The sequence below is a fragment of the Homo sapiens genome, chromosome 4, assembly GCF_000001405.40.
Source record: "Homo sapiens chromosome 4, GRCh38.p14 Primary Assembly".
Lineage (NCBI taxonomy): Eukaryota > Metazoa > Chordata > Mammalia > Primates > Hominidae > Homo > Homo sapiens.
In genome coordinates this window covers 110,615,819-110,642,397 of record NC_000004.12, presented here as the reverse complement: position 1 = coordinate 110,642,397, position 26,579 = coordinate 110,615,819, and the positions used below count along the sequence as shown (strand labels likewise).

General features: G+C 49.0%; 1 protein-coding gene across 7 annotated transcripts, besides 12 other annotated features; it reads left to right on the top strand.

Annotated features, from left to right (window-relative positions):
- PITX2 (paired like homeodomain 2) lies at positions 275-24,975 on the top strand. Of its 7 annotated transcripts, NM_001204397.2 has the most exons (6): positions 5,387-5,617; positions 8,007-8,240; positions 9,390-9,445; positions 9,918-10,055; positions 21,029-21,234; positions 23,710-24,975. In NM_001204397.2, exons 3-6 carry the CDS (start codon positions 9,400-9,402, stop codon positions 24,271-24,273), a joined length of 954 nt encoding a protein of 317 aa, NP_001191326.1. In that variant the 5' UTR covers positions 5,387-5,617; positions 8,007-8,240; positions 9,390-9,399; the 3' UTR covers positions 24,274-24,975. The 7 variants fall into 7 exon arrangements, with proteins under 7 accessions (NP_001191327.1, NP_001191328.1, NP_001191326.1 ...); NM_001204398.1 differs by lacking the exons at positions 5,387-5,617; positions 8,007-8,240 and adding an exon at positions 275-479; NM_153426.3 differs by lacking the exon at positions 8,007-8,240.
- Positions 908-1,411: an enhancer, noted in NCBI's record as "NANOG-H3K4me1 hESC enhancer chr4:111562143-111562646 (GRCh37/hg19 assembly coordinates)". NCBI's record gives its function as "activates a minimal SCP1, AML or CMV promoter by ChIP-STARR-seq in naive H9 embryonic stem cells {active_cell/tissue: H9 hESC(naive)}" and the evidence as "EXISTENCE:reporter gene assay evidence [ECO:0000049][PMID:30033119]".
- Positions 2,706-3,301: an enhancer, noted in NCBI's record as "H3K4me1 hESC enhancer chr4:111560253-111560848 (GRCh37/hg19 assembly coordinates)". NCBI's record gives its function as "activates a minimal SCP1, AML or CMV promoter by ChIP-STARR-seq in naive H9 embryonic stem cells {active_cell/tissue: H9 hESC(naive)}" and the evidence as "EXISTENCE:reporter gene assay evidence [ECO:0000049][PMID:30033119]".
- Positions 4,037-4,537: an enhancer, noted in NCBI's record as "H3K4me1 hESC enhancer chr4:111559017-111559517 (GRCh37/hg19 assembly coordinates)". NCBI's record gives its function as "activates a minimal SCP1, AML or CMV promoter by ChIP-STARR-seq in primed H9 embryonic stem cells {active_cell/tissue: H9 hESC(primed)}" and the evidence as "EXISTENCE:reporter gene assay evidence [ECO:0000049][PMID:30033119]".
- Positions 9,569-10,081: an enhancer, noted in NCBI's record as "H3K4me1 hESC enhancer chr4:111553473-111553985 (GRCh37/hg19 assembly coordinates)". NCBI's record gives its function as "activates a minimal SCP1, AML or CMV promoter by ChIP-STARR-seq in naive H9 embryonic stem cells {active_cell/tissue: H9 hESC(naive)}" and the evidence as "EXISTENCE:reporter gene assay evidence [ECO:0000049][PMID:30033119]".
- Positions 13,199-14,050: an enhancer, noted in NCBI's record as "NANOG-H3K4me1 hESC enhancer chr4:111549504-111550355 (GRCh37/hg19 assembly coordinates)". NCBI's record gives its function as "activates a minimal SCP1, AML or CMV promoter by ChIP-STARR-seq in naive and primed H9 embryonic stem cells {active_cell/tissue: H9 hESC(naive and primed)}" and the evidence as "EXISTENCE:reporter gene assay evidence [ECO:0000049][PMID:30033119]".
- Positions 14,948-15,447: an enhancer, noted in NCBI's record as "H3K4me1 hESC enhancer chr4:111548107-111548606 (GRCh37/hg19 assembly coordinates)". NCBI's record gives its function as "activates a minimal SCP1, AML or CMV promoter by ChIP-STARR-seq in naive H9 embryonic stem cells {active_cell/tissue: H9 hESC(naive)}" and the evidence as "EXISTENCE:reporter gene assay evidence [ECO:0000049][PMID:30033119]".
- Positions 15,448-15,949: an enhancer, noted in NCBI's record as "H3K4me1 hESC enhancer chr4:111547605-111548106 (GRCh37/hg19 assembly coordinates)". NCBI's record gives its function as "activates a minimal SCP1, AML or CMV promoter by ChIP-STARR-seq in naive and primed H9 embryonic stem cells {active_cell/tissue: H9 hESC(naive and primed)}" and the evidence as "EXISTENCE:reporter gene assay evidence [ECO:0000049][PMID:30033119]".
- Positions 19,261-19,350: a silencer, noted in NCBI's record as "silent region_15630". NCBI's record gives its function as "represses an Ori minimal core promoter by ATAC-STARR-seq in GM12878 lymphoblastoid cells {active_cell/tissue: GM12878}" and the evidence as "EXISTENCE:reporter gene assay evidence [ECO:0000049][PMID:35858748]".
- Positions 20,713-21,365: an enhancer, noted in NCBI's record as "H3K27ac-H3K4me1 hESC enhancer chr4:111542189-111542841 (GRCh37/hg19 assembly coordinates)". NCBI's record gives its function as "activates a minimal SCP1, AML or CMV promoter by ChIP-STARR-seq in naive H9 embryonic stem cells {active_cell/tissue: H9 hESC(naive)}" and the evidence as "EXISTENCE:reporter gene assay evidence [ECO:0000049][PMID:30033119]".
- Positions 22,020-22,671: an enhancer, noted in NCBI's record as "NANOG-H3K27ac-H3K4me1 hESC enhancer chr4:111540883-111541534 (GRCh37/hg19 assembly coordinates)". NCBI's record gives its function as "activates a minimal SCP1, AML or CMV promoter by ChIP-STARR-seq in primed H9 embryonic stem cells {active_cell/tissue: H9 hESC(primed)}" and the evidence as "EXISTENCE:reporter gene assay evidence [ECO:0000049][PMID:30033119]".
- Positions 22,672-23,325: an enhancer, noted in NCBI's record as "NANOG-H3K27ac-H3K4me1 hESC enhancer chr4:111540229-111540882 (GRCh37/hg19 assembly coordinates)". NCBI's record gives its function as "activates a minimal SCP1, AML or CMV promoter by ChIP-STARR-seq in naive and primed H9 embryonic stem cells {active_cell/tissue: H9 hESC(naive and primed)}" and the evidence as "EXISTENCE:reporter gene assay evidence [ECO:0000049][PMID:30033119]".
- Positions 25,679-26,337: an enhancer, noted in NCBI's record as "OCT4-NANOG-H3K27ac hESC enhancer chr4:111537217-111537875 (GRCh37/hg19 assembly coordinates)". NCBI's record gives its function as "activates a minimal SCP1, AML or CMV promoter by ChIP-STARR-seq in naive H9 embryonic stem cells {active_cell/tissue: H9 hESC(naive)}" and the evidence as "EXISTENCE:reporter gene assay evidence [ECO:0000049][PMID:30033119]".

The window sequence follows — 26,579 nt, the reverse complement described above, 5'->3', positions numbered from 1 at the left end:
AGATGACAGCCAGAGTTGAATGGGGAATCCAGAAACTGGGGATTCGGGCTCTTGATGCAATCTATATGCCAATCTACTTCATTAGTTCTTCTTTTATTTACAGTTTGGTAAAGAATATGGGTGGAGCTGTTCTGGGCTCACTTGCACACATGTCCAAACTGCTTTGAAAAAGGAAGGGCAAGAAAGAGTGGTATCCAAGTTGGAATCAGGCAGGCATTTCAGATCAAGAGACGAACTGGAAAGGGAACATCTGTTAGATACCCTGGGTTTGAAGGCAGTCTGTGTAAGTTTTCATATCTCTGAGTGTGTGCACACAGTGGAGAGGGTGGAGCCTGCCATCCTCAAATCTGAAAAGATTGAGAGATTTCAGAGGGCCCAGATGTGCCAAAGGTCAGAGGGATCAATATACAGGCCCTACCACGGAAAGGCGGGGAAAAGGTTCGAATAGAAAACTGCTGCAGAAGGGAAGCCACTGAGAGGTAAGGGAGTTTCTGAATAATTAAAAAGTTAAGAATAAGCAAAAGGAAGGAGGTCGGGTGGGGGATAAAAAAAAGCAGTTGATGTGGTAATTAAGAATTTGGTGGGAGCCTGGGCAGGTCACCTCCTTTCTCAGATCAGAGCCCCATCAGAAATTCTTTCAAGTGTCCTTCTGCGTCGCCAAAGATGACAACAGCAAATCAATAAGTGCTTGAAATGAAAGGGGATGTTGACTAGCCCCCAGGCTACAGATTTCCCGCCGCCAGCCTTTTCTGAACTCCTATAGCGTGCCTTTGCACCGCCTCTCTTAAGAAGAGCTACCTTTTATTCCTATTCTCAGGACGAAGGTAAGTGCTCAGTTAGCATATCTATTAAATGTCAGCTTTGGTTCCAGCTCTCCGTTTGCGCGGAAAGCTCACTGCCATAGCGCGCCCAGCCTGCCGGAGGGGCAGACAGAAAAAGCAAGCTTGGCCTGGCGACTTGCGGGGCCACGCACCTCCAGGGCTGGCCCGGAGTCTTCCAGAGTTTAACGCTCCTGGGTTAGAACTGTAAGGTCCCGGTCCGAGCAAAGGGCCTGAGCCACCGTAGCCGTGGGAGCGTTCCTTCCACTTGAATGCACTCACTCACAAACAAGCACAAAATCTTTTTAACAGCAGAGGAGAAAGACCCCTGCTCCAAAATTAAAGCTGGGAATCACCGGAAACTCCGTTTTGAGTGCGAGATATTGGTCTGTTACCTTTCTAATCTTCATATCCCTCCTGTAATATGTCTTGATTTAACAATCTTTCCAGCGCCCAGCATTGCCCGGACGTTTTAATTGGGTAATTCATTAGTGAGTCAATACAGGCATTTATATATTCTTTTAGCTCAAGTGGTTAAGTACTAATTTCGAAATGATTATAAAACACCGGAATCGGCAACGCATAGTAATTTTAATTTATATGCAAATCAATTGGTTCATCTTAAATGCCTTTTTTAAAAAAACAATTATTGTATTGTAGCATCGGAGGCATGGATCAAACCTCTAGAATAGACAATTCGGAAACAAGACCTGGACTAGGAAGACAATTTAGAACAGCCAACAAATCAATAATGTTTGAGGCAGTTAAACATCGCTAGCCATTGGTATTTACATACTCGCTTGTTGTCAGATAAGGAGCTGGGGAAATTGCTTGCCAGGGTTGAGATCATAATCCAGAGTGAAGAAAGTAAATGGTAGCACACAGCCCGTCACAGCGGGCTCTGAAATAATACTGTACCTTTCCCAAATCCTGACTCTTGGGTGACAGGGAGTTGGCGGAGGTCACCCCACATTTGTCCACGGTTTTGCCCCAATTTGATCACGAAATTGTTGTTCTCCCTGAGCTTTCCAATTTGATTACCATTCTAACGGTTCTGTCACTTGTCTCAACATATTGGGGGGAGGAGTGTAATTGAGATTCTCATTAAAAATTATCTGAACCCACTTAGCCAGCACTGTTTCATCTAAGCTTAGTTTTATGGGCTGTATTTAATTCCCTGTGCCCCCCACACATTAAAATCAGATCATCAAAATGTCGGTAGGAAAGGGTGAAGGAAATGGTCCAATGCTCCAGTTTACTGGAAGACTATTATCTTTAGACATAGTTCAAAATTTTGAGGAAATAAAAAGGATATACGCTTTGGGGGGAAAATGTTTTAATATTCTAGAATGGGGGTATTACTCCCCCCATTCCAGAGAATCCGCACTGGAGTTGTTTATGTAAAAATGTAACATCCTTGAAATTCACAGATACGTAAGGTTAGTGTCTCCCCTTCCCCAGGCTCCCAGTCCAGGCGATCTAGCCCTAAAGGAGCTAGTACCTTTGATGCTACAATCTTGTTTACATCTGCAGGGCAGAGAATTGCTTGCTTTGCTTGGACGCTCCCTCCACCCCCTTCTAATTTGAAGTAATCGGAATCTAAATACAGTCGCCAAGGCCCGCTCTTCCTTTACTGCTTTGACAAGGGAAAAACCTGAAATCCACGTCTTAAATCAGCTCGGTGGTTTGTAGCCCCCCAGCACCCTGCTTCTACGATTGCATGCCTAATGTATTCCCTGGTGATTCTGGGCATTAATTAGTTGTTTAATAGGAGTATGACTAAAAATGTAAAAGAAGGATTAGGAGCGTGAAACGTATGTCCAGCTCCTTCCACACACTCGAGGAGGGAATGAGAATCATTCTGTATCTTCTATTTCTCCAGGAGCCATTTGCATTTCCCACCAGCTGCTCACTTCAGCTGCACTGGCGCTGGGCAAGGCGAGGACCCAAAAGCTCAGCGCAGTGTCTGCGGCGGCCGGGACTGGGGTTAACCAGCCTCTGGCGGGCGAGACTCCAGACAGAAGGGGGGCGAGAGGAACGTGAGCTTCCCGAGCCCCTTCCTCTCAGCCCTGGTTTGCAAACCTCTGAAACCTGAAAGGGGAGGGAGTTGCACGCGCGTATCTTTGCGTCTTTTCAGCGCAACTCCCTTCCCTCTCCCTGTGTCTCTCCGCGGATCTCTGAATCTTTCTGTCTTTGGTTTTCTCATTCTCTTCCAACTTTTCCATGAGATTGCCTATCCTCGCCACCAGCTGAAGGCAAGGCCGTTCTGCTACGAGCGCCTCTTAATCTCTACAAAATGAAAAGAAAAAAAGGGAGGATTATTAGCCCATTACTCAGAGGAATGGGGAGGCTGCAAAAATCGTCGATGGGCAGAGGTGAAGATGTCTTTCTCGGACTGCACTTTCCGGTGTCCTGTAACTAGAGTTCAGTTGTGGGACTTGTTGAAGAAATTTGATTTTCTTGCCTCGGCGAGATTTCAAAAACCAGAAATAGAAATTCTCAGAGTCAGAGAGGAAATACAATTAAACAGCACGTGGGCATTTTCCCCCTCATTTCTCTCCCCTTAAATAACACTGCTTTGAGTTTCCACTGGGTAAAGAGAGAAAGTTTGAGTTTTCACGGATGTTACGTGGAGGTTAGAAATGGCTTAAAATGTAGATCTCTAATCAGTTTTCTTCGTGGCTGAAGAGGCTAACCCTTTCCATAAAATGAGTCCATCTGTCGACTGTTAGCTATTTCAAAGTGAAGGGATTTAGCACTCAAAACAAATTGAGCAAGTTTGTTTGCCTGTTTTTACTGCTAACTCAAATGAATTCAAAACACGGAGTAATTCAAGAAAACACATAACATGTTCCAGACAGCCCCCAAAAGTAGGGAAAGCCCAGCACCTATATAGTGACTAGGGTTAGTTTTAAGCGCCAAGCTTTTTTAAACGTATCTATTTTATGCACATTCTCCCGAGTCACTATATATTTCTAAAATTGCGAGTATTGGTATATTGATTTAGGAAGAGCAATACAACTTTTAGAGGGAACTTTATTCTCAATTAGGGACCAAAGAGATGTCTTTTTAATAGCGGGCCTGAGTTTTGCTCTCAAGCAGGAATTAATATTGGTGGGAAAATCCGAATCCAGGAGCAATGGCTGTGTTCCGGCACTTTCCAAAAACATACATTAACAGGATGCCCTTGAGATTGAAAAAACATTGTCCCATATGCCTGGCAGAAGCCTTCACACCTGGTCCTCCAGGCGAATTATATTTATAGTCCTTCCACTCAGAGGCAGGACAGAGCCAAAATATTCTGCTCACTACCAAAATACACATCTTTGCTCAAGTCAAGAAATCAGAAAATCAGGGTTCAGAAGTAAGGCACACTTTTCGAGTGAGAATATGCCCTGTAATTTCACATACTCTTTGCTTTGCAGGAGCAAATGTGGACTTGAGGGAAACTCTCTCCCCCACCCCCACTTCTATCCCGTGCAATTTAATACCATCCTCGCCAGGAACCTTAACCTCGTCATTTTAAAAAATGAGATATCCGTGACCCAGGGTGAACTTGTTGAATGTAGGTACAGCAGAGGAAATTCTAGACTCTATGAGCGTCTGAGCCTTGTCCAGTGCAAACCCTTCGTGAACACTGGGTCAGTGCGTGGCCGTGCCCACCTGTGCGCCGACACTCTCAGCATGCCTGGTCCACCCGCCTTGACCTCGGGCGCGGTGTCCCAGCTAAGCTGGGCCCAGCGTCCCGGCCTTCCCCAGCTGACAAGCCTAGCTCGTTCGCTCCCGGCTGTGGCCCTCCCACCCTCTCCCACTAGCTCACTCCATTCTTCTAGATTTCTCTTCACTCATCCTCTCCCATCCCCACCGCGCCCACCTCCACTCCCGCCCTCTACCGGTCTCTCACTTTCCTCCCTCCGCAGTCCCTCTTTGCTGTGACCTCTTTCCTCAACTCTGCAGGCCTGAAAGAAGGTCACACACGCACGCTCACACCCACACTCCACACGCCTCGTCCCAAACAACCCCATGAACATTGTCCTTTGTTCCGTCTCTTGGGCCACTTTCCCTGTCGCTTCCTCCCAGCCCGTCCTGATTTGCTCCCCAAAAGTACGTTTCTGTCTCCCCGCTGCCCTGGCGCTCCCCCTTTGATTTATTAGGGCTGCCGGGTTGGCGCAGATTGCTTTTTCTTCTCTTCCATCCCATCCTCCCTTCTGGTCCTCCTTTCCACAGTGGGAGTCCGTGCTCCTGCTCCTCGGTTGGCTCCTAAGTGCCCCGCCAGGTCCCCTCTCCTTTCGCTCTCCCGGCTCCGGCTCCCGACTCTTCGGCCCGCTGGCATCTGCTTCCCTCCCCTGCCTCGTTTCTCGTCGCCCCTGCTCGCTCCCCCCGGCGCTCGCCCGGGCGCTGTGCTCGCTCCTGGATCGCCAGCCGCGCAGCCGGGCTCGGCCGGCCGCCCGCGCGCCACTGTGCAGTGGAGTTTGGTGGAATCTCTGCTGACGTCACGTCACTCCCCACACGGAGTAGGAGCAGAGGGAAGAGAGAGGGATGAGAGGGAGGGAGAGGAGAGAGAGTGCGAGACCGAGCGAGAAAGCTGGAGAGGAGCAGAAAGAAACTGCCAGTGGCGGCTAGATTTCGGAGGCCCCAGTGCACCCGTGGACTCCTTCGGAACTTGGCACCCTCAGGAGCCCTGCAGTCCTCTCAGGCCCGGCTTTCGGGCGCTTGCCGTGCAGCCGGAGGCTCGGCTCGCTGGAAATCGCCCCGGGAAGCAGTGGGACGCGGAGACAGCAGCTCTCTCCCGGTAGCCGGTAAGTGGAGGCCATCTATCCCGCAGGGATGTGAGATAATGCGAGTCTGGAAATTTGTTCCACTTCGGAGAATCTTCACCGTAGGTGATTTGTGGCTTTTGGGGCTAAGTTTCGCCCAAGGTAACGCAGTCGGCAAACAGACCTTGCAAAGCCCTGTTCCTTTCGTCCCCCGCCACAGACACTAACAATCTACAGGGTGCTGAAGTCGAGAGGGAAGCCAGACCGTGGCTGGCATTTAAAACGAGGTATCTTCCCTTAAATCTCGGTGCCAACACTGCAGGAACAAATCCTCGGGCCAAGGATTAGCATTCTCAAGATAAAGGGCTGGGTACAAAGTTTCAGCTACTGGAAGATTAGCCCCCTTCCCATTGTTATCCATTGGGAAAAAAAAGAAAAGAAAAAGATTCCATCTTAACTGGCAGTTAGTGACCTCTCAGGCCCAAGCGAATTACCTGGGAGCCAGGCCTGGATGCCAAGCTCTCACCATTTCTTTGGATTGTAACTCCTTTAAATTGATCACCAGTCAACTCCAATCTGGCACTTCAGGAGATACACTTTAAATGGATGCAGAGAATTATTTTCCAGCTGGAGATTAAGAAAAAAATTTTCGATTCTAAACCTCCGAAATATGTTCCTCTTTTCCAGTTTAACCACTTTACTTTCTTAAGCAATTTAGAAATCAAACTATCATAAGGTGGTGTGATTTTTTTTTACTCTTTTGTGTGAGTATTGTCTTACTAAACTAAACGGAAAAAACTTTTACCATTATAAATGTAAATATCAGAATTCATACATTCTAAAATATTTTTATGAAAAATTAATCTGATTTAAAGAAATTTCCTTGCATTTGTTTTAGTCTATCAATCAAAACTAAAGATGCTTTTATCACACAAAATATCATTTTGGCAGAAATCCATCTAAAATTCAAATACCAATAATATCAAGAAAACAAAGCACATAAGCAAAATAAATTGAAGATTTTTGTTGATGTAACATGAGCATACAACATTTCAATAACCAAACTTTCCCTAAAAAATTAAATAGCCACTTCATTTGTGGAATGTTTTACTTTAACTCAGCAAAATTACACTTAAATTATTTAGGTGCTTTGTTCCTTAAGTTAAGCGTGTTTGTCTTCAAATGTTCCTAAAGCACTTATATTAATTGGTTGTAAAGAACGCATACACATGGTAAAATACAGAACTGAACTGAGCAGTATTTTAATTTCCTTAAATAATTACTTACTACAAATTAATTTACTGGCTAATTTCACAATTTAGTTCATTTAAAACACATGTTCCTGTGCTGTTTATTTTTAAACTTTCCATTAAAGATTTTGTTATGGGGTAACAAAGTGTATGAAAAGGGGGGAAATGTGAAAGGATCTGGGATTATTCGAACTGTATTTTTCCTGCACTTTCAGTCTTGCGGTAGTCATCAGAAATTATTTTTTAGCAAATTGTTTTATTTCTTAGGGCTTGCCTGCCTGCTTTGCCATGGTTCCTCGTCCTCCGTTAGCCGTGTAGTGCTTTTTGTGTGCTCACAATATAAAACCCAAGTTGGCCAAAACAAGAGTCCTTGGCATATACATTCCAACTAGAACATGAACTTTGGGGGTGAGAACTACCTCCCATCAGGAAAAGTCTCCCATCTCAATTTGTGAGATTAGCCATTGAAGCCAGTTCCGAAGTCTGGCAGCCAAATTTCTCACAGAAGACTTGTCTTGATAGGGCAAGTTTAAGGATCAGCAGGCGGGAATTGGAGGTCTCTTTTTAAAAAATTATCTTCCCCAGTTATTTAGACTCAGTTCTTCTAGTAGGCCTGGTCATTAAATGAAGCATAAAAATGCAAGTCTCAAGGCTCATTTTGACTGCAAAATAAATCTCCAAGTCACAAGGACATGTAGGAGTGAGCTAAGGAACACGCCTTGACCTTCTTTTCAGTCCTTAGAGTGGAGCTCTATGAGTTCTTGAAGATTTGTTTTGTATTGCTTTGTTTGGTCTTCAGCACTGAAGCACGGGGAAGTGGGGGGAAGAATGTGTAATAATTGACTGACTTTACACCAAGCAACGCAATCTTTTTCTTTTGTATATTTCATTCTTTAAAAAAAATAAATAAATAAAAACTATTTGCAGTTACCATCTGCAGTGCTCCGGCTACCAGCTAATAATGCAGCCAGTTCAGACATATAAAAAAAAAAGATTATCGAAATGATGATGACATGCAAATTTCCTCCGAAATTATCATAAGTAAACATTTGAAGTCTGGACTAATAAAATCCCATCTGTGTTACTTCATATCGAGTTAGTAGAAAGCTGTGATAATGAATTTTGTAATATCTCACGAACAGACATCTCAATCAGGGACTAATCCTGTGATTTTACTGCAGAATCACTAAATCTGGAGCCGCCAAACTGCTACTTCTGGGCCCACGGGCCCACAAGGATCGAATCGGCAGAGTCCCCGCCCGCGTTCTCGCTAGCGGGTGGGGGAACCGCCTGGCCGTCCCCACCCTGGATCCCCACGCCACAGCGCCGGGCAGCCCCTCCTGTAGGCAGCGACCTTGGCCAGAGGCTCCCCAGGGCCCAGCTCCCTTCAGGAGAGGCCGAGACGCAGGGAAACGGTACTCAGGCCAGAGGCAGGCCCGCAGCTCCCTGCCCCGCCTCTGTGCCTCCGCCAACCCGACAACGCTTGCTCCCACCCCGATCCCCGCACCCGCGCGAAGTGGGCCCTCCGGTCGTCGGCGTACCCTGGTTAGCGTGGAGAGAGGCAGGCGCTGAGATCGAAGGGGCCTAGGGAGCCCTGGACCTTCTTTTCTTGTCTTTAAAGCAACCGCGGCTCTTCTACCCACCCGGTGGAGCCCCTCGAGACCCACCTCTCCCGGCTTGCCTGTGGCAGAGAAGGGGGAGCGCGTTAAATGCTTGGCTCGCTGCGTTGTGGTTGAAAACGTGAAAAAGATTTGGCTCGCCCGGGAGAGAAAGGGGGAGAACTGGGTAGCAGTTATACCAGAGCTATTTCTCCGTCCTTGGCGGGCAGTAAACCCTCCAAGAACGTTTGCCCTGCTCTCCTCAGTCTCGCTCAGTCCACCCAGTGTCTCTCCTCTGCGATCTTAAATCATACTTTAGGGTAATTATTTGTAGTAAGTAAATAAATGGCCGGGTTAGTATCTCTAGGAGAAAGTGTGGCTAAATATGGAAAAGTGGCTCCTGATGGATGAGAGGCCCGAACTCAGCTCGCTCCTGAAACACCCTAGGCCAAGAGCCCGTTCGTTTCAGAATTACAGAAAACCGAGGGAAACTGCTGTCTAGGACAGGGGCACGTTGGCGCTGATGTTCTACAAATGTTTACCGAGCTCCAACTAATGGACAAGCACTGAAGGGTGGTCTTTGCATACAGCTTCCCAAAGAGAAAAGTCCTCTCCACCCACCCACTCCCGCTGCCATTGCGTTCAGATGAGTTCTTAACCCCGGCACCGAGATTCTTGAAAGTAGGTCCACAGCCTCCCCAGCACACTGTGGCTTTATAGTCCTCTAACCTCTGGGCACTTTTGCGGCAACTCTGGAGGGAGATCCCCTCTTGATAAATAAATGTCCTGGGCCCGAGGCTAGGCTGGAGATGCTGCTGCACAGCCAGAGGCTGTCAGGTCGGAAAAACACGCCTGAAGCCTAGCACACAGTAGGCGCCTAACAGCTAGTGTAACGTAGTCTCATCTGAGCCCTGCTCACTCGACGGCCGCCGCTTCTTACAGCCTTCCTTCTCTTCTGTTTTGCAGATAACGGGGAATGGAGACCAACTGCCGCAAACTGGTGTCGGCGTGTGTGCAATTAGGTAAGAACCCCCTTCTCCTGCCCGGGTCATCGGACGGGAGGCCGCGCCACGTGAGGGCGGCAAGAGGGCACTGGCCCTGCGGCGAGGCCCCAGCGAGGGGCGCTTCCCCGAGGGGCCAGCCTGGGCAGGAAGGAAATCAGAACCAAATCGCCAGTGGCCTCTCCCTGTGGCGGGGCGGTGGACTAGGAAGCAGCGGCGCGCTGTGTACCGAAGCCCCCCAGCCTACTCCTCCCGGCTGGAACCGCCGGCAACCGGGGAGGCGCAGAAAGAGTACGCCATCCTGCCCCGGGTTGCCAGAGGGTCCGGGGGACGGGGATGCCGTCAGCTCTTTCCTCTAACTGGGTCTTTGCTCTTTGTCCCTCTTTCTCCTCCGGCCTGCCTCGCCCCTCCCCCTCCTCCCGTCCCCGGCTCCTTTCGGCCGCGGTCCGGGACGCCTCTCTCCGCACGTGGGGCGGGCGCGCGCGTGGCCCAGGCGTGCAGCCGGCGGCCGTTGAATGTCTCTTCTCCAAAGACTCCGAAATCAAAAAGGTCGAGTTCACGGACTCTCCTGAGAGCCGAAAAGAGGCAGCCAGCAGCAAGTTCTTCCCGCGGCAGCATCCTGGCGCCAATGGTAAGGCCGGGAGGGAAGCGCAGGCCGCGCGCTGGGCACCCGCCTCCGGGACTCTGGGCCTCGGGCGAAGCGCAAGAAGGCGAGGCCGCCAGACCTGACGCGCCTGCTGCTTGAACTTAGACACTCCGCCTCTGGGTGGGACGGGAAGCAGCCGTCCCAGGGACGTTAATTCCTTTCCCCAAATTATACTGCACTCCTGAGACCCAACACCTCTCTCTCCCTCTCGCTCGCTCCCTGTGGTCTGATCCCCTGCGCACGCTCCAGCAAACCTCGGCGTCTAGGCTGGCGTGGAAAAGTGGTCCAACAGCGACCTCTGTCGCTCGTTATATCCCGCTGCGCGCAGCACCACCAGGGCCCACTCAGTCACTCAGGCTCTCAGCCACGCCCCACCCAGACTTGTGGGTGCGCGGTTCATCGCGGGAGGCAAGCAAGGGAAACTTGAGTTGGCGAAGGTTTGCTTTGGCTGGTTGGGGGAGGGGCGGGGGGCCGACAACATCCCTGAAGAGCTGGAGGGCAGCCACTGTGCTTAGCAGCCCAGGGTAGAATGGAGGTTTGCCCCTGTCGACGCGAACCTGCCTGAAGTACTGGTTGCCAGGCCTTGGGTTTTGGCGATGTCGTTGCTTGATTGGCTGGTTTCACTCTGGAGGAATCGAGGGACATTGCCAGAGGAGGTCTACAGGCTTATGTAAAAAGTTAAAAAGTCTCCAACCTACGCCACAGGCCTTTCCTGAATTGAAACTTGTTCTATGGGGCGGAGGGGGGGGTGTAAGGGATGGAGGAGGGAAGATGCCTTTCTTTTCAAATACATGGAAAAAAACCCCTCAAATTTACTGTTCCTCTATTTTCCTGGCTCCGTAGTAAATAAGTGCCTAGCCTTAGGAGGCTATTGACCTTTGATAATGTGAGCAGATAAAGCCCCCCCCCCCCCACAGCCCTCGGCCCCTAACCCCCTCTTTCCGGATTAAAGTGTAAGAATACAAATGTAATATGGGATGGAGGGGGGCGATTTGGGACCCCGGTCAAAAAAACAAACCGTATTACTAAGAAGAAAACAAAGGTCTTGCATTGGAGTTTCCCCGTGAATCTGAGAGAAAATGATCATTTGTTGAAATGAAGCGTCTAAAGCGATCCAGTGCTTCACGCCCGGACACTGCACTACACCGCCAGTCGCCCTGCTGGGCCAGTTAAACGCTCACTTGTCCGGGATTAACCCCATGGGGTTAAATGGGGGCAATGCAGAGATAACGTCGCGTGATTTCTGTCATTTAGATTGTGTTAAATTCTTCTTCTGTTTGATAATCGGTAGTAAAAATAAATTATTAGACCGTAGTATGTTTGGGATATGGTTAAAAATCAAGAGCAGCGATGACTTCTGGGGAGAATGCTTTGCGCGGGCTCAGCCCTGGCTCCGGCCAGACTAGAGGAGCTCCCCAATCTCGCTTCGCGCGGGGCGGGCTCGCAGTCGCCAAGCCGAGGCTGACATTTCTTATTGTGCTGGGAGCCAGAGAGACGCAAAATGTCTCCTTCCCCCAGTCCCTACCCCAGGTTTCCTAGACATGGGGAATGCATTCTGAGGACAGGTGGAGAAGCCTACGGTAGGATGGGGTCCTCGTAGGTGAGCAGGAAACGGCTAAGAGCAGAGGAGTTCTGCTTGCGCCAGTCACAAGCCGCGCAGGCGCCCCTGGTCGTTCGCTTTTGATAACTAGCACATAAAGAACTAGAAATAATGAATGATTGCTTTCTTAACCATTACTTTCAGGCCCGCATTGTTTTAGTGCACGTGAAAGGCTCTTCCCCTACACTCAATATGTCTTTTTCTACTTTTTGACCGAAAAGAAAAATTGCTGCCTAAACACGTTTAATGCCATTAATTAAGAAAAGGCATGTAATGGGAAGAAATGCTGAAAATCTTGATTTAATTGGCTTTTAAGGAACTAGTAGACGACAAAAAAAAATCACACGAGTGGGCAAAGCTATAGCACTGCTGAAGGATAGAGCACCTATCCTTCCCTGATTTTAAGTTAACTTATGGAATATCCAAAGTCCTGGCCACAGCCTGCTTGTAAAACAAAAGGATTTATTTCTTGTGTTTTTTTAAAGTTTTTCTTTGCTTTTAAAGAGAAAAAAAGTTCACAATGACATATGACTTCTTCAAAAGGCCGTGATAGTCTATTACGCTACCCTCTCCGCCTCTGCCCCCAACGCCGCCCAAAAATACCATGTCCTCGTTAAAGACTAAACGTTCTGTATAGGCAGAGTCCACCTCTAAGCAGTCCAGGCTCTGCCTTCCTTCCCTAGTGAGTCCCATTCTCCTTGGTATCCATTGGGCGGATGCCCAGCCTGGATAGAACCCCGAAACGGGGGTAGCACGAGAGCGACTGGAGACCCCTAAAAGCCAGAGGTTTGAGAGAGGGTGGACGCAGCTAGCAGAAGATGGTGTAGAAGCCAGCTGAGAACGACCCCCTAGAGCAAAGAGACCTTTCTTTGGCTTTTCTTGCTTTGGGGGTCCTGAAAGGAACTCATAAAATGGTCTTCACCCTCAGGAGGAGGACGGACTGACCCTCCTCTGTCACTGGCTTAAAAAGTTTCAGGGCGGCGGCTCTGGGTTCCGTGCTGAAATCGGACTGCACTGCAGCCCCTTTGGACCTGACGCCTGGCTTTGCGTCCCGACAAGGGGCGGGTACTTCCCCCGGCCTCCCCCAGGAACGCATTAATTGTTAAATAGCTTTGGCCCAGTGGATGGGCTGAAAGTGTTCGACCCAAGTCGCTGGTGTGCACAGACTTCCTCCCTCTGGGAGGTGGGCTCCATGGCCCGTTGTGGCACCCCCAGCCGCGACACACACCTTCACACGCGGCAGCAGCTCGGTCCCAACCTTCTTCGAAGGACCTGGGTTAACCCTGGCGGCCTTGGCGGCCGCAGACCCCTCTCCGCCGCCCCGCCCCCGCGCCTCTCATTCAATCAGCGAATGTTTGCGGAGCATATACTACGTGGACTCCTAATGTACCCCCTGAAAGCAAATAATACAGTTTTCCTCGCCGTCATGAAGGGATTTTAATCCTAACATGGACACCAGCGAGATCAGCCCAGACCGTCTCTAGCAAAACGCAAAATGGTGGTGCGTGGGGTGGTGACCAAGGTCCTGAGCCTTGTCAGAAAGAAGGGGATGTGTAGAGAAAGGTGGAGAACTCTAGCTGTGGCTAGCGCGGAAGGGACAGGTGCTTGCCGAAGGGGGCATGAGGCTTGAGGAAAAAGCAACGAAATAGGGGTAAGGAGAGTTTTCCATTTTCTTTCCTCCGCCCGACCTCCGCCATCCCATTCTCCCCTCCCCTCCCCCACCCCCCGCGCCAATCAAATCTGCAGCTCACTTGAAAGGTGCCCCGCCGCGTTGTGGTTTTTCACCCCCAGGGGAAATTGTACCAGTTGTCCGAAAGTAGTCAGTCCCTGCGGATCCCTGCCCGCAAAAGTGGTCTTCACAGGTCGCGTTCCTCGCTGCTGACTCGGTACACAAAGTTTCTTAAGGCTGGTTCGGCTGTTATTCCTCACCGCCCGCTGCTAATATATGCAGCAGTTGTTAGAGCGGCTCGGGGGAAAAGGAAATGTATAACGAAAGCTTATTCGTGAGCAGGAATATACTAATGGAACAATCTGATGTCTTCTTAATCCTATGTAAAAAGCTTTGTCGTCTTCCTAATATTGACTGAATGGGTAATTAATGGCTCTTCATCTAGGCGAATACCCTGTAATCCAAGATAGGCAAAAGACAACAAGCCCAAGGTAGAAGACAAAAGGCCCAACTGCAGCGGCGTTTGCCCGCCTCCTACCCCCCAGGGTCTCTGACTAGGAAAGTTTTCTCTCAGAGGAGAAAAAGGCAGGAGTGGGAGAATATATACCTATCATTTCGGGGCTAGACTTCACCGCAGCACCTGACCACCCAGCTCAGTTTTCTGTTACTCTGTCTTTCCACCTCCAGTCCTTCTCCCTGCATTTTTTTTTCTTCTTAACTCCTCTAGGATGACCTCCTACCACCACCGCCATTATGGTCCTAATAACCTTTCCCCCTAAACCCCACATCTTTCACTTCAGCAACCAATGAGGCTGTTTTCTGATCCAGGAGGAGATTCTTTTCTTTTAGAACCCAATGCGTAGAGTCTTTGAGAACTAAAGTAGTTGGTAGGGGAGGAAGAAATTAATAGAAAGGGAGAGAGCATACAGAATTGTGTGTGTATGTTAAAGAGCGACCAGGAATGACAGAGTCAACTTCTTTGTGAGGATCTGACGGGAAGAGTGTCCAAGACTCTACCAGCATGTTTTTAACAGGCTGACATTTTAATTTAAACCTTTAGAAGTAATATATTACTTGGGTTACTACAATGAGGTGGGTTCCTTTTTTTTTGTCAGCTGACAGCTTTTAAAATATTATTTCGCTAGGGAAATAAAAGCTTCATCTCAGATTATAGGTGGGTATTTTTGGATTTAGGTGATTTATGGTCACCATGACAACTAATGCTGAATGTTAGCTACCAGCATGTCTGGGAGAGAGAAAACAGAAAGAAGGGAGAGCAAAAGAAATAGAAAAGGGAGATGGACATAAGCTGGAGAGGGAAGAAAAGAGAAAAAGAGGAAGACAGATGAGTGTTTAATCCAACTGTTGTTTAAAAAAGTGGCGGGGGGGTGGGACTTCATTTAGCCCCTTGCCACTTCCTTCTTTCCTGACCTGGATATCTATGCTCAATTTCATATTCCACCCTTCCTTCCCCTTCTCCAAACACATGTGCTATACCATTCTCCTTATTTTACTTAGTTCGGCAAGTAGTTGCTTTCTGGAGACTCAGTGACACCTAGGAAAACTGTGGCAGTAACATGCAAATGTGAGGAAGCATTAACAGCATGTTCGTTGAGTGATTTTAGCAAATGCCCCCTCCTCTAATCTCTTTCTCTTCTCTTCCCCAGGCCACTGTGAGGTGGTAACTCCCACTGCCATCTGAACACTGTTCCCCCAGGTAGTTACCCCAAATCTCAAATGGTTGAGCAGCTAGAGCTGTGGGTTGGAAAAATGGGTACCATTTGCAGGGACCCAGAGAGGGTGGCTGTTGCTCAATATATCTACAGACTTCCAATTCAGAAAATAATCTTCCCCTTTTGACAAGCCAGAGCTTTTTAAATTCCATTTAGGAAATGGGGAAAAGGACAGCTACAGTGAAGCTTTTAATTTCTGGGTTATTTGGTTCCATAGCTATGAGGGGTGGTGGGTAGTGGACTGTTTTCAGCTTGGTTTGTATGCAGAGAAAAGCCAGATATTGGAGGGGGTGGGGCACTTCTCGGGCAGGATGCAAGGTCTCCATCTGACCTCTGCGCCTTACCAGGAGCTCACACACTCACGCCCATCACGTGGCTCCAAGCTGAGTCCAGGCGGGCCTCGTCCTTGAGCTAGCTTGGGCAGGGCAGGACTCCCACCCGTCTAAGGCCTAACAGCTCAGGGAGATGTCTAATTAAGCCATCTTCTGGGTGAACTCTGAAGACAGACTCTTTCCAAAAGTCAGAGATCACTTGGTTGAGTCCCAGGCCAGATTGATACGGAGAGTTTGGCGGCACAGCCCAACCGCTCACTGCCATGGCCAGAGGGACTTTGCACAACTAACACTGAAGAGTGTGAAATTAAATAAGACTTTAAGACTGGTAATCGGTGGCAAATACCAGCACAAAACACGGCTGACCCCATGTCACACATTTCCCTCCTCTAGGGTCTTTCTTTGAAAGAATAAGCAAGAAACCCCAATCGAGACAACCCCTGATGTCTCCCAGACTCAAAACCTCACGCCGGCACTGGGCTTTCCTTCTTTGCCCCACGTGAGCCATGCAGCACCTCTAGTTTCCCTACCAGGATCCCACCAATGTTCTCCGTATTGGAAATTTCTGTGTTAGAGGCTGAACTCATAGTAATTTCTAAAACCAATTAAGAAGAACTTAGCCAGAGGTCACAGTAATGCTGGAATCACAAAATGCATAAGATTTATTTTCTTCTGGCCCCTTTCTCATCCATGCTGCCTATGCCTGTGCACCCACAAGTCTTATGTACATTAAATCTCCAAAATCAACCACCACCATGCCACAGAGTTTTCACTGGACAGTGTTTCTTAGTTCCCACCACATACCTCCTTTTCCCCATGCAGACTTATCATGTTGGTGTCCTGCCACACAGGGGGCCTGAGAAGAATGTCACCCAATCGCCGCTGCTGTGAGTGTGTAAAGTGATTAGGAGATTAGGAGAATGTTGAAACTCCTGCTGGAAAAATGCAAAGAAAATCCTCACTTTGAGTCAGTTGTTTACAGAGCCAGTGTGTGTGTGCGTGTGTGTGTCTGTAATATAAAATGGATGTGAATATATATATACAAATAGATATGGTTTTGCTTTTACTTTAATCTGAATTATCTAGATAATTGTCTTTATTCACCACTTGACTTCAATGGGTCCACACAAATTAGGACACCTTATCTTTTTAGGCATCTAGGCTGCTGCTGATCCCCAGTGCTTCCAACATCTCGCACACGTTGGCACTATGAGGAGCAGTCACGTGCCCTTGGGTTTTTCAACCACTTTGGAGGCTGATTGAGGTCCTTCATACATGTATATTTGTCGTGATGAAAGTTCCATCGGTAGAGTGGAGCCACCAGAGCTTTTATCAAAATTCTGTGGGTTTATGAGAGATGGGTTTAGAAATCTATATGGCTCTGTGGGGCTTCTCGGCTTTCTAAAATAAGGCATTAACACCCAAGCTTCCAAAAATATTTGCAGCTCTGGGGTTTGAATCTTGAAAAACAAGGAGTGAGGGGCTGTGTATACTAACTACAGTGGAGATTTTTTTCATTCTTTAATGTGATGGAGTCCCTTCATGAAATGAAGCTTTAAGGGGCATGGTATTGTGGGGACCACAGCTATTCTGAGGTTTAAAAGAAGAAACTGGAATATGATTAGTAAACACATTCAGCAGAAAAGAGCTGGATTCTTATTGACTTAGTTATAGGTCATCGGCTGGCAGTGCAATGGGAGGAAATATTTACTTTACACATATACTTTATGATCTTGGGGGAATTAGAGGAAATTCAATAAGAAAACGGCTAGAAACATTTAAAACCCTTATTTAAAAGACTTAAGCAAATTAGAGTCTTATCAGATTAAAAACCACTACAAATGTAAGAGCATTGTCTTCAGTGAAACGCTGTGGGGTCTGAGAAGGAGATTCTCCGCCAAATCTCCGGGATAAAATGCGTCATTTAAGCACCAGATAATGAGCAGAATGTAAATTAATTTAACCTTCTTTACCAACAGGCTGCTAGTGTAATGTGTATAATTTAGTGATAAGATTGCAGGACCTAATATAGCTGGATGTATGAGCCTCAGCTAATGCAGACCTGTCACATGAGGATGTGTTTTACTCTGAGCAGGTGTCTGTATGTGTGGAATGGGGTAAAGTGGAATAAAAGGTTAAAAGCAGAAATGCTGATTTAAAGCTTACTATGAAGAAATTCCTCCCTTGCAGCTAAATTATTCTTAAAGTGGGATGATACTGGTGAAGAAAGACTGAAAAACAATTCTCATGTGCGTCTTTGGACTGCAAGTTTAAAATGGGGAGGAGTTGCAGATAGGGTTTGGGGGTGGTCAGGGCAAAGGAGAGACACATAAGTTGCAAATATATTTGTAGTCTGCTTCATCCACTTTGTTCCACATCGAATAAGTTTCCCAATCTTGTGAACAAGGACAAGGAGGGAGTGTTTTAAAGATACTTCATGCTGGCATTGCAAATCATTGACTGTAATGTCAAACAAATACACATTCAGAGATGATAACACTAACTCCATAGTAAAACAATCGCCCATGCAGAAACCCAGAGGAGATTAGTTTGTCCTCTCCAGCTGACCTATGCTGGGGGACAAAAGGACTTTCAAAAATTATTTTGAATATGTTTGGATTTCTTTCTTTAATTTCTTTGGAAATTAAATTTGCTTGGAAACAGTGCTATAAAGAGTTGATGTCTCCAAAGGTGATTTTTTTTGTTTTATATAAATAAGGTTTTGCTTTTGCTAGTTGAGCGCAGTTCTAGGCTTTTCGCCCTTAGCTCACACACACCCCTTCTGCCTGCTTGGACTTTAATGGCTCAAGACAGCCTTGAGCTCACTGGGAAAAGAAAATGACTGTTAAAAATTATCCTTGAAATTGGTTATTTGGCAACATTCTTAATTGTATGGAAATTCATTAAGGCATATTTCATATATAATTAGCTCAAGGTTGTTGATTCTACAGGCTTTATGGATTTAAATCTGATTGATAATAAAGTAAACAAGAGAGTCGAATTTAAAGCGTGGCTCTCTCGGGTTAGGACGAGCTTAATACAGTGTACAAGGAATTTGAAAGATCTAGGATATGTGTCTTAATCAACGTTAAGTAGAATGGATAAGCTTTCAGCATTTTGAAAACGCTGGGTTAGGGTTTCTCTTCTATTGTGTGTTTTCTGTCTGGGGACTAATAAGCATCACAGAGAACGTGATCTGAGGCGACTTTTTATTCTTGTATAAATCCAGAGTGAACCACCAAACAGTTGTTCGTTTAAAGTCAAGGTAATTTTCTTTTGACGGGTCCATTTGCTTCTCGATTTCTAATTTATTAGCCTGCCTTTTCAGGGCTCTGTCTTCTTTGCAATTAAAGCTTCTTCAGATTAGCGCAGCATTCACTTGACAGGCTGTTTGGAAAATTTAAGATCGGAGAGGTGATTTGTTGCTGTTTTTCAAATTTTCTAGTTTTAAGTAACGTGTCTCCTTTTTATATGGGGTGGGGGATTGGAAATGGATGTAGTGAGACACAAAGAGTGGGTGTCTTGTTGATCCTTGTACCTTTCTCTTCTTGACCATTCCACTCTCTTCTCCCAAGCCTTCGACTCCTAGCCTCATCTCTTCACCTTTGGGTTCGTACTAAAAGCCGGATCGCCTTGGGCTGGGCAGGAGCTGAATTCCCGGGAGCTTGCCTGTGTAGACCCAGTGCGCACGGCGAGGCAGTAGCCCGGCCCCGCACTGCTGATAGGTGCAGGCAGGACAGTCCCTCCACCGCGGCTCGGGGCGTCCTGATTGGTGCGGAGCCACGTCAGTCGCACCCGGAGAAGGGTCTGGGAGGAGGCGGAGGCGGAGAGGGCTGGGGAGGGCCGCGGCGGAGTGACGTCTCGGCACCAGGAAGCCCGCCTCTGGTTTTAAGATGTTAGGCCAACAGGGAAGCGCGGAGCCGCAGATCTGGTCCGTCGCTCGCCTGGGTGCCTGGAGCTGAGCTGCGGCAAGGCCCGGCTCCTGTTCGACCGCCCGAGGGGTGTGCGTGTGCGCGTTGCGGAGGGTGCGCTCAGAGGGCCGCGTCGTGGCTGCAGCGGCTGCTGCCGCCGCAGGGGATCTAATATCACCTACCTGTCCCTGTCACTCTTGACACTTCTCTGTCAGGGCTGCCGCGTGGGGGGGGGGCGGGCAGAGCGCGGTCGGCGTTAGCTTTCCTTATTGGAGGGGTTCTTGGGGGAGGGAGGGAGAGAAGAAGGGGGTCTTTGCCCACTCTTGTTTCGCTTTGGAGCTTGGAAGCCTGCTCCCTAAAGACGCTCTGAGTGGTGCCCTTCTGCCCACATCCCATGTCTTCGTTTGCCCGCTGACTTTCCGTCTCCGGACTTTTTCGCTTGAGCCTTCCGGAGGAGACGGGGGCAGCTTGGCTTGAGAACTCGGCGGGGGTTGCGTCCCCTGGCTCTCCCCGCAGCGGGGAAACTCCGCGCCTAGAGCGCGACCCGGAGCGGGCAGCGGCGGCTACGGGGGCTCGGCGGGGCAGTAGCCAAGGACTAGTAGAGCGTCGCGCTCCCTCGTCCATGAACTGCATGAAAGGCCCGCTTCACTTGGAGCACCGAGCAGCGGGGACCAAGCTGTCGGCCGTCTCCTCATCTTCCTGTCACCATCCCCAGCCGTTAGCCATGGCTTCGGTTCTGGCTCCCGGTCAGCCCCGGTCGCTGGACTCCTCCAAGCACAGGCTGGAGGTGCACACCATCTCCGACACCTCCAGCCCGGAGGCCGCAGGTAAGGCGCCGCGCCGCCCTGCAGACATTCCCGCTCAGCTGCTCTGCGCCACCCGCTCCCTCTCGCCCCAAGGAAGTCAGCCCCTCCGGGGGGAGGCGTGGTGGGAGTGGTCGTTCGCCTGGCTCCCCGCAGAACTTCCGGGAGCCGGAATTTTGACTACCCCGCATCCCTTTAGTTCTCCCTCGACCGGCCCGGCTCCTGGGGCGCTAAGGGCGCGAGCAATTCTGCCGCCCTCTCTATTCGTACCCTGGCCTCCCTTCTGTTTCCTGGGTCACAAAAATCCCAGCATCTTGATTCGAGGACCTTCAGAGGCCGCCGACCTCTGTCCCTGTTTTCCTCTCGGCTTTCAGCTCCCGAGGAGCTCCACTCGTTAGGAAATTGCCTGAAACCACTCAGAAATGCCCTTCGCGAAGAGGCATTTTTTTTTTTTTTTTGGGAAAGGGCCGGCGAACTTCGGTGCCCAACCGAATCCCCACATCTTTTCCTAGCCTTCCCAAACCGCATGGAAATCTGAGCTTTCTGCGAGGGGGAGGGGGGTCTGTAAACCACGCGCGTGTGCGCGTCCCAGGAGATTTGGTGTGTCTGCGCAGAGGTGTATAAATATACTTGAAAGCACAGGCTATAAAAGTGAATGTGCCGCTGCAGTGAGATAAACATGTAAATAAAACGTGCGGCGCTGGGGGAGGGGAGGAAATGGGGCGCGGACACCCACACTTGCGCCTGCACACCCCACAGGCGCAGCGCTCCTCGCGGCCCGGAGCCGCCGCGCGCACCCTCCTCCGGCGCCAGGCAGCCCAGCTCTTCCACGGCTTCTGCCGCCGGTCCAGTTGGCGTCCGCGTTGCAGGTGGGCATGCTGACGGGAAAGTGTGTGTGTTTCGTTTTCAGAGAAAGATAAAAGCCAGCAGGGGAAGAATGAGGACGTGGGCGCCGAGGACCCGTCTAAGAAGAAGCGGCAAAGGCGGCAGCGGACTCACTTTACCAGCCAGCAGCTCCAGGAGCTGGAGGCCACTTTCCAGAGGAACCGCTACCCGGACATGTCCACACGCGAAGAAATCGCTGTGTGGACCAACCTTACGGAAGCCCGAGTCCGGGTAGGAGCCAGCACGGAGTCTGGGAGGGATGGGGGGAGGATGTTGTGGAGGTACAGGCCAAGTAGACCAGGAGAGAATGTGGAAGGCAGCGCCGCCTGGGAGGGCGCCGGTGGGGCGCAGCTTTGCAAAGGCAGAAGGCCTCGCGGCGGCCTGGTTGCGAGATTACAGTTCCCTCTCCGAGGCCGACAGGACTGCCGCCCTGGCTCAGGCTCCCAGAGCGGCACCGGCTCACTGCCCCGCCATCCCGCGATCTCACGAGCTGGGCTGCATGGGCAATCCCCTGCACAGGACATTGTGTTCCTGGCTTGCAGTTGCCAGAGCAGAGCTAATAAAATCCCTACCAGGCCAAGAGCCGCGAACAGGCTCCAACCTGTGAGCCTTTAACAAGGAAAACCCGCCAGAGACACGGAAGAGTTGGCCCTCCCTGGGAAACCTTTGTCCCGGCCCTGGCCCAGCTTTTTCCCTCCTGGGCTCGCGCTTCTTACACCTTCTTTACGGTTGTTTCGGCCATTCAGGTCTCTCCCACACACCCTATTTCCTAGTTTTGTGATCTCCGGGAGCAAAGTTTTAATACACAACTACTAGTCCTCTTAGAAGGAGAAAGAAAAAAAGAAGAAAGACTTTTCTGCTTGGTTTATTTATCTTCTCTCAGGAGTTGAACTCTGGAAATTGAAACTCACACCCCCTCTTCTAAATTATAATCATAGTTTTGTAAAAAGGGCTTACCTTAACTTTGTAGCAAATCTGTACTTTATGGATTGGCAAAAATGAGCTCAAATAAATAACCCAATAGCAACGTCCTGGTTTATGCTGGTCGGTGGAAGATTCCAAATTTGTTAGGATTCTGGAAGCAGAAAACAGAATCAAGCAAATCAAGCGGCATCCAGAGGCTTTGCTGTTAAAAAAAAAAAATTAAGTGCTCTGGGTAGAAAAAATAAAGCCCCCGGTTAGAGCAGAGCAAACAAAAAGAAGAAAACAACGATAAAAAGAATAAAGACCAAAATGCTCTCCCAAATCAGAGGGAATGAAGACACTCTCTGGGTGGCATTTGTGCAAGGCATGAGGCTATGCTGGTGGATAAAAGGCCGGGAAGAAGTTGAAAATGGTTTTAGTTTAACTGTCCAGAGCCAGAGCTGGGTCCTGGGCGGCGTGGTTTTGAGCAAGGTCAGTCTTTCATTAGCTCTCTTGCACATCAAGGGAACGGGCCTCTCACGTACTCTTCTCGCCTGAGCAAAGTTTAGATGGCCTAGGGTAGAAATGGCAAGTAATTAAAGACAGAGTCTATGGGTTTTCTGGGATCCTTCGAAAACGCCCTCCCACCCCGCCCGCTATTCCGCAGCTCCACCCTAGTGCTTTGTAGCCGCGGCGCTGGGCTCTCCTTGCAGCTGCCTCTCCTTCCAGGGCGGCTGCTTGTCGAGCCAAGTGGGAGTGAGGCGTGCTTTTTATAGCAGTCGGGTGCAAAGAGGAAGGGGGATAAAAAGGAAATCAAGAATGAAAGGAAAAAGAGAAAAAGCGGATTACACGGCTGGGCCCGGCGGAGATGTGTAATGTGAAACATCACTGGTGTCAGCTCGGATATCTCAGGCCAGGCCTCTCTCCAATACACAAAAGCCGCCGTCTGGGGCGACAGGGAGGCCCGATGTGGATTGGGATCGGGGTTGCGGCTGGGCCACCGGACACGGGTGGAAGCCGGCCGGCCTGGGTGGCCGCCTGCAAAGCCAAACGACCCGGCTGGGCCTGGCGCGCGGACAGGCCTGTGGTGGGCTTAGGGTAAAGAAGAGGCAGAGCGAAAGAAGGGGGAATCTCCAAAACTACCCTTTCCGGGTTCCCGGAGTTTAATATGCCAAGCTCCTGGAGTTAACGAGCTGACGAAGAGGTGGTCTTTTGCTCTTTATTTGGTTGTTTTGCTAGGCGAGAAAGAGTGTTGGCGGCCTAGTCCCTGTTAAGGGAGCACGTACCAGGGGGTGGGGGACGACAGTGGAGGTCAGGGAAGGAAGGGAGGAATTGCGTGGGAGAAAGAGCGATCCTCTAGTGCCCTTCCAGCCCCTTCTCCTCATCCGTGGGTCTGTGGCTTTGGAATGGAAGCAAGTTTGCAAGGTGCCCCGGGAAGGGTTGGAAAAGCCTGCTGCCCCGCGTTTGTTTTACATTAAGTGTTTTTGGACCTGGAGAAACGCCTGGCTGAGTGATCAAACCGTCCGCAGGTCTCCATGCGTTCGGCTGAGGTTTGTGGCGTAGCTCCGAGTCCCAGCTCGCAGGCCAGAGCAGACCAGGTCTCCTGCGCTTGGTGGAGACCCGGGCCAGTAACTGAAAGCTGGCCCTGGTATCTTGGTGTGCAGGGCGGTGCAGTGAAGCGAGGCCAGGGTGTGTGAGTGCGCTAGCGTGTGTGTCGGGGGAAGGCGGGGGTTGGCCTCCGATGGAAGTTTTAGTAATCTGCACTGTGGCATCTGTTTGCTCCCTTGCCCCAACCGCCCCCAGGTTTGGTTCAAGAATCGTCGGGCCAAATGGAGAAAGAGGGAGCGCAACCAGCAGGCCGAGCTATGCAAGAATGGCTTCGGGCCGCAGTTCAATGGGCTCATGCAGCCCTACGACGACATGTACCCAGGCTATTCCTACAACAACTGGGCCGCCAAGGGCCTTACATCCGCCTCCCTATCCACCAAGAGCTTCCCCTTCTTCAACTCTATGAACGTCAACCCCCTGTCATCACAGAGCATGTTTTCCCCACCCAACTCTATCTCGTCCATGAGCATGTCGTCCAGCATGGTGCCCTCAGCAGTGACAGGCGTCCCGGGCTCCAGTCTCAACAGCCTGAATAACTTGAACAACCTGAGTAGCCCGTCGCTGAATTCCGCGGTGCCGACGCCTGCCTGTCCTTACGCGCCGCCGACTCCTCCGTATGTTTATAGGGACACGTGTAACTCGAGCCTGGCCAGCCTGAGACTGAAAGCAAAGCAGCACTCCAGCTTCGGCTACGCCAGCGTGCAGAACCCGGCCTCCAACCTGAGTGCTTGCCAGTATGCAGTGGACCGGCCCGTGTGAGCCGCACCCACAGCGCCGGGATCCTAGGACCTTGCCGGATGGGGCAACTCCGCCCTTGAAAGACTGGGAATTATGCTAGAAGGTCGTGGGCACTAAAGAAAGGGAGAGAAAGAGAAGCTATATAGAGAAAAGGAAACCACTGAATCAAAGAGAGAGCTCCTTTGATTTCAAAGGGATGTCCTCAGTGTCTGACATCTTTCACTACAAGTATTTCTAACAGTTGCAAGGACACATACACAAACAAATGTTTGACTGGATATGACATTTTAACATTACTATAAGCTTGTTATTTTTTAAGTTTAGCATTGTTAACATTTAAATGACTGAAAGGATGTATATATATCGAAATGTCAAATTAATTTTATAAAAGCAGTTGTTAGTAATATCACAACAGTGTTTTTAAAGGTTAGGCTTTAAAATAAAGCATGTTATACAGAAGCGATTAGGATTTTTCGCTTGCGAGCAAGGGAGTGTATATACTAAATGCCACACTGTATGTTTCTAACATATTATTATTATTATAAAAAATGTGTGAATATCAGTTTTAGAATAGTTTCTCTGGTGGATGCAATGATGTTTCTGAAACTGCTATGTACAACCTACCCTGTGTATAACATTTCGTACAATATTATTGTTTTACTTTTCAGCAAATATGAAACAAATGTGTTTTATTTCATGGGAGTAAAATATACTGCATACAAATTGGTCTGGATTCTTTCTCCCCTCCTCTGTCACTAACTTGGCCAGGACATCTCAGTCACTGCTTCCTAAACAAACCAGTTCCCTCTGCCTGCCTAGTTAAACATACAAGGCAGCAGTCCTTATTTAAATTTGGTAGAAATAAATGATAGCCATTCATCAGAAACTAAAAAGAAAAAAAAAGGCATTCCCGGGGGGGAAAAGGGCTACAAAATCTAATTTTGTCTCTCCAATTTTTCTTTGGCTTAAACCTAGAGGATTCCATTATGGCTAGCAAATAATATGAAAAAGAAAAAAGAAGAAAGAAATTTAGCAAGTCCATCAGCTTAAAATGACTCTCAAGTTTACTCCTTTACGGGGAAACCTACACCTCTAGCAAATTGTTCTGGAGAAATATTTGTGCATGTATACATGTATAGTTTATATGCATTTCTCTCAGGAGGAATACATCTATAATAAATTTACAGGGAAACATCTCCAGTTCAAAATATTTAGGCTTCCACGTTTATCTTCAGGCTTAAGTAGAGAGATCCTTCATGTTATATTGCATTACTATTTCCAAATCCTTTGGAGACATTAAAAGAAACAAAGATGATTTCTAATAACTACAGCCCTTCAGTTTCTCAAAGAACTCAGGGGTTGAGAGGTTAGAGTGGAGTTTCCTGAGTCTTGTCGAGCAATATGTAGTTGAGGCAAAGGTCATGCTCCCGGTGTTTTGTTTTAAATAATATTGACCCATTAATTCTAAACCTGCTTGTTCCTGAAATTATACAGGATTATAGTTTGCAAACTGCAGGACAATGAAGCAAATCAAGATGAATTACAGCCCTGGCCCTCCCTGCCATCCTCTGACATCTAAACAGGGAATGAGTTCGGTGTGAGTGTTTAAATGAACTTTAAGCACCCGATCCTTCTTTATCCGCGATTTTCAGCTTTAAAAAAATGTGAAATTTGATTTCATAACAAATAGAAACAAATACCACTTAGTCCCAGAGAATTCATCCTCATGGCGCTAGGAGGGTCGTTGTGGAGGTGGGGGGAGGGATGTGCTGAGATCTTTTGTTATGCTTGTCAACCCCCCGCACAACCAAAGTGGGCGAGAACAAACACCACGCTGGGGAACTTAGAGCAAAAAGTAACCGCCGATTTTCTGGAGCCGACAATATCATTGTTTTTTCGCCTTAGTTGCTTTCATCTGAATGAAACTTTACCTAGAAGCTTTTGGAGCTCGAACACTGAGTCTTTGTTCTGCAAGAAACTGCTGCTGCCACTTAAAGAGATCGCAGATAATGTCCCCGATTTAAGATCAGTGCTCAACGCACACTTTCTTTCTTTTTAAAGCTCTGCCTCCGACTTGCGGAGGGATCACGCAGCAGTGGGGGGCAGATAAAAGCCCTTTGGACGAGGGTCACCTCCCACCATGTTGTTCACTTGAGAGCAGTGGAGAGGAAAACGGTCCCCACGGGCGGACTTTGGCTTCTGGAGCCGCAGGGCCCAGCGGTCCCGGCCTCTCCGCCTCTCAGCCTGGTAGGGGGCGGGGAGGGCCAAAGGGCGGAGGGGAAGGAAGGAGCTAGAAGAGGGGATTTGGGGATGGGGGCTGGAAGCGC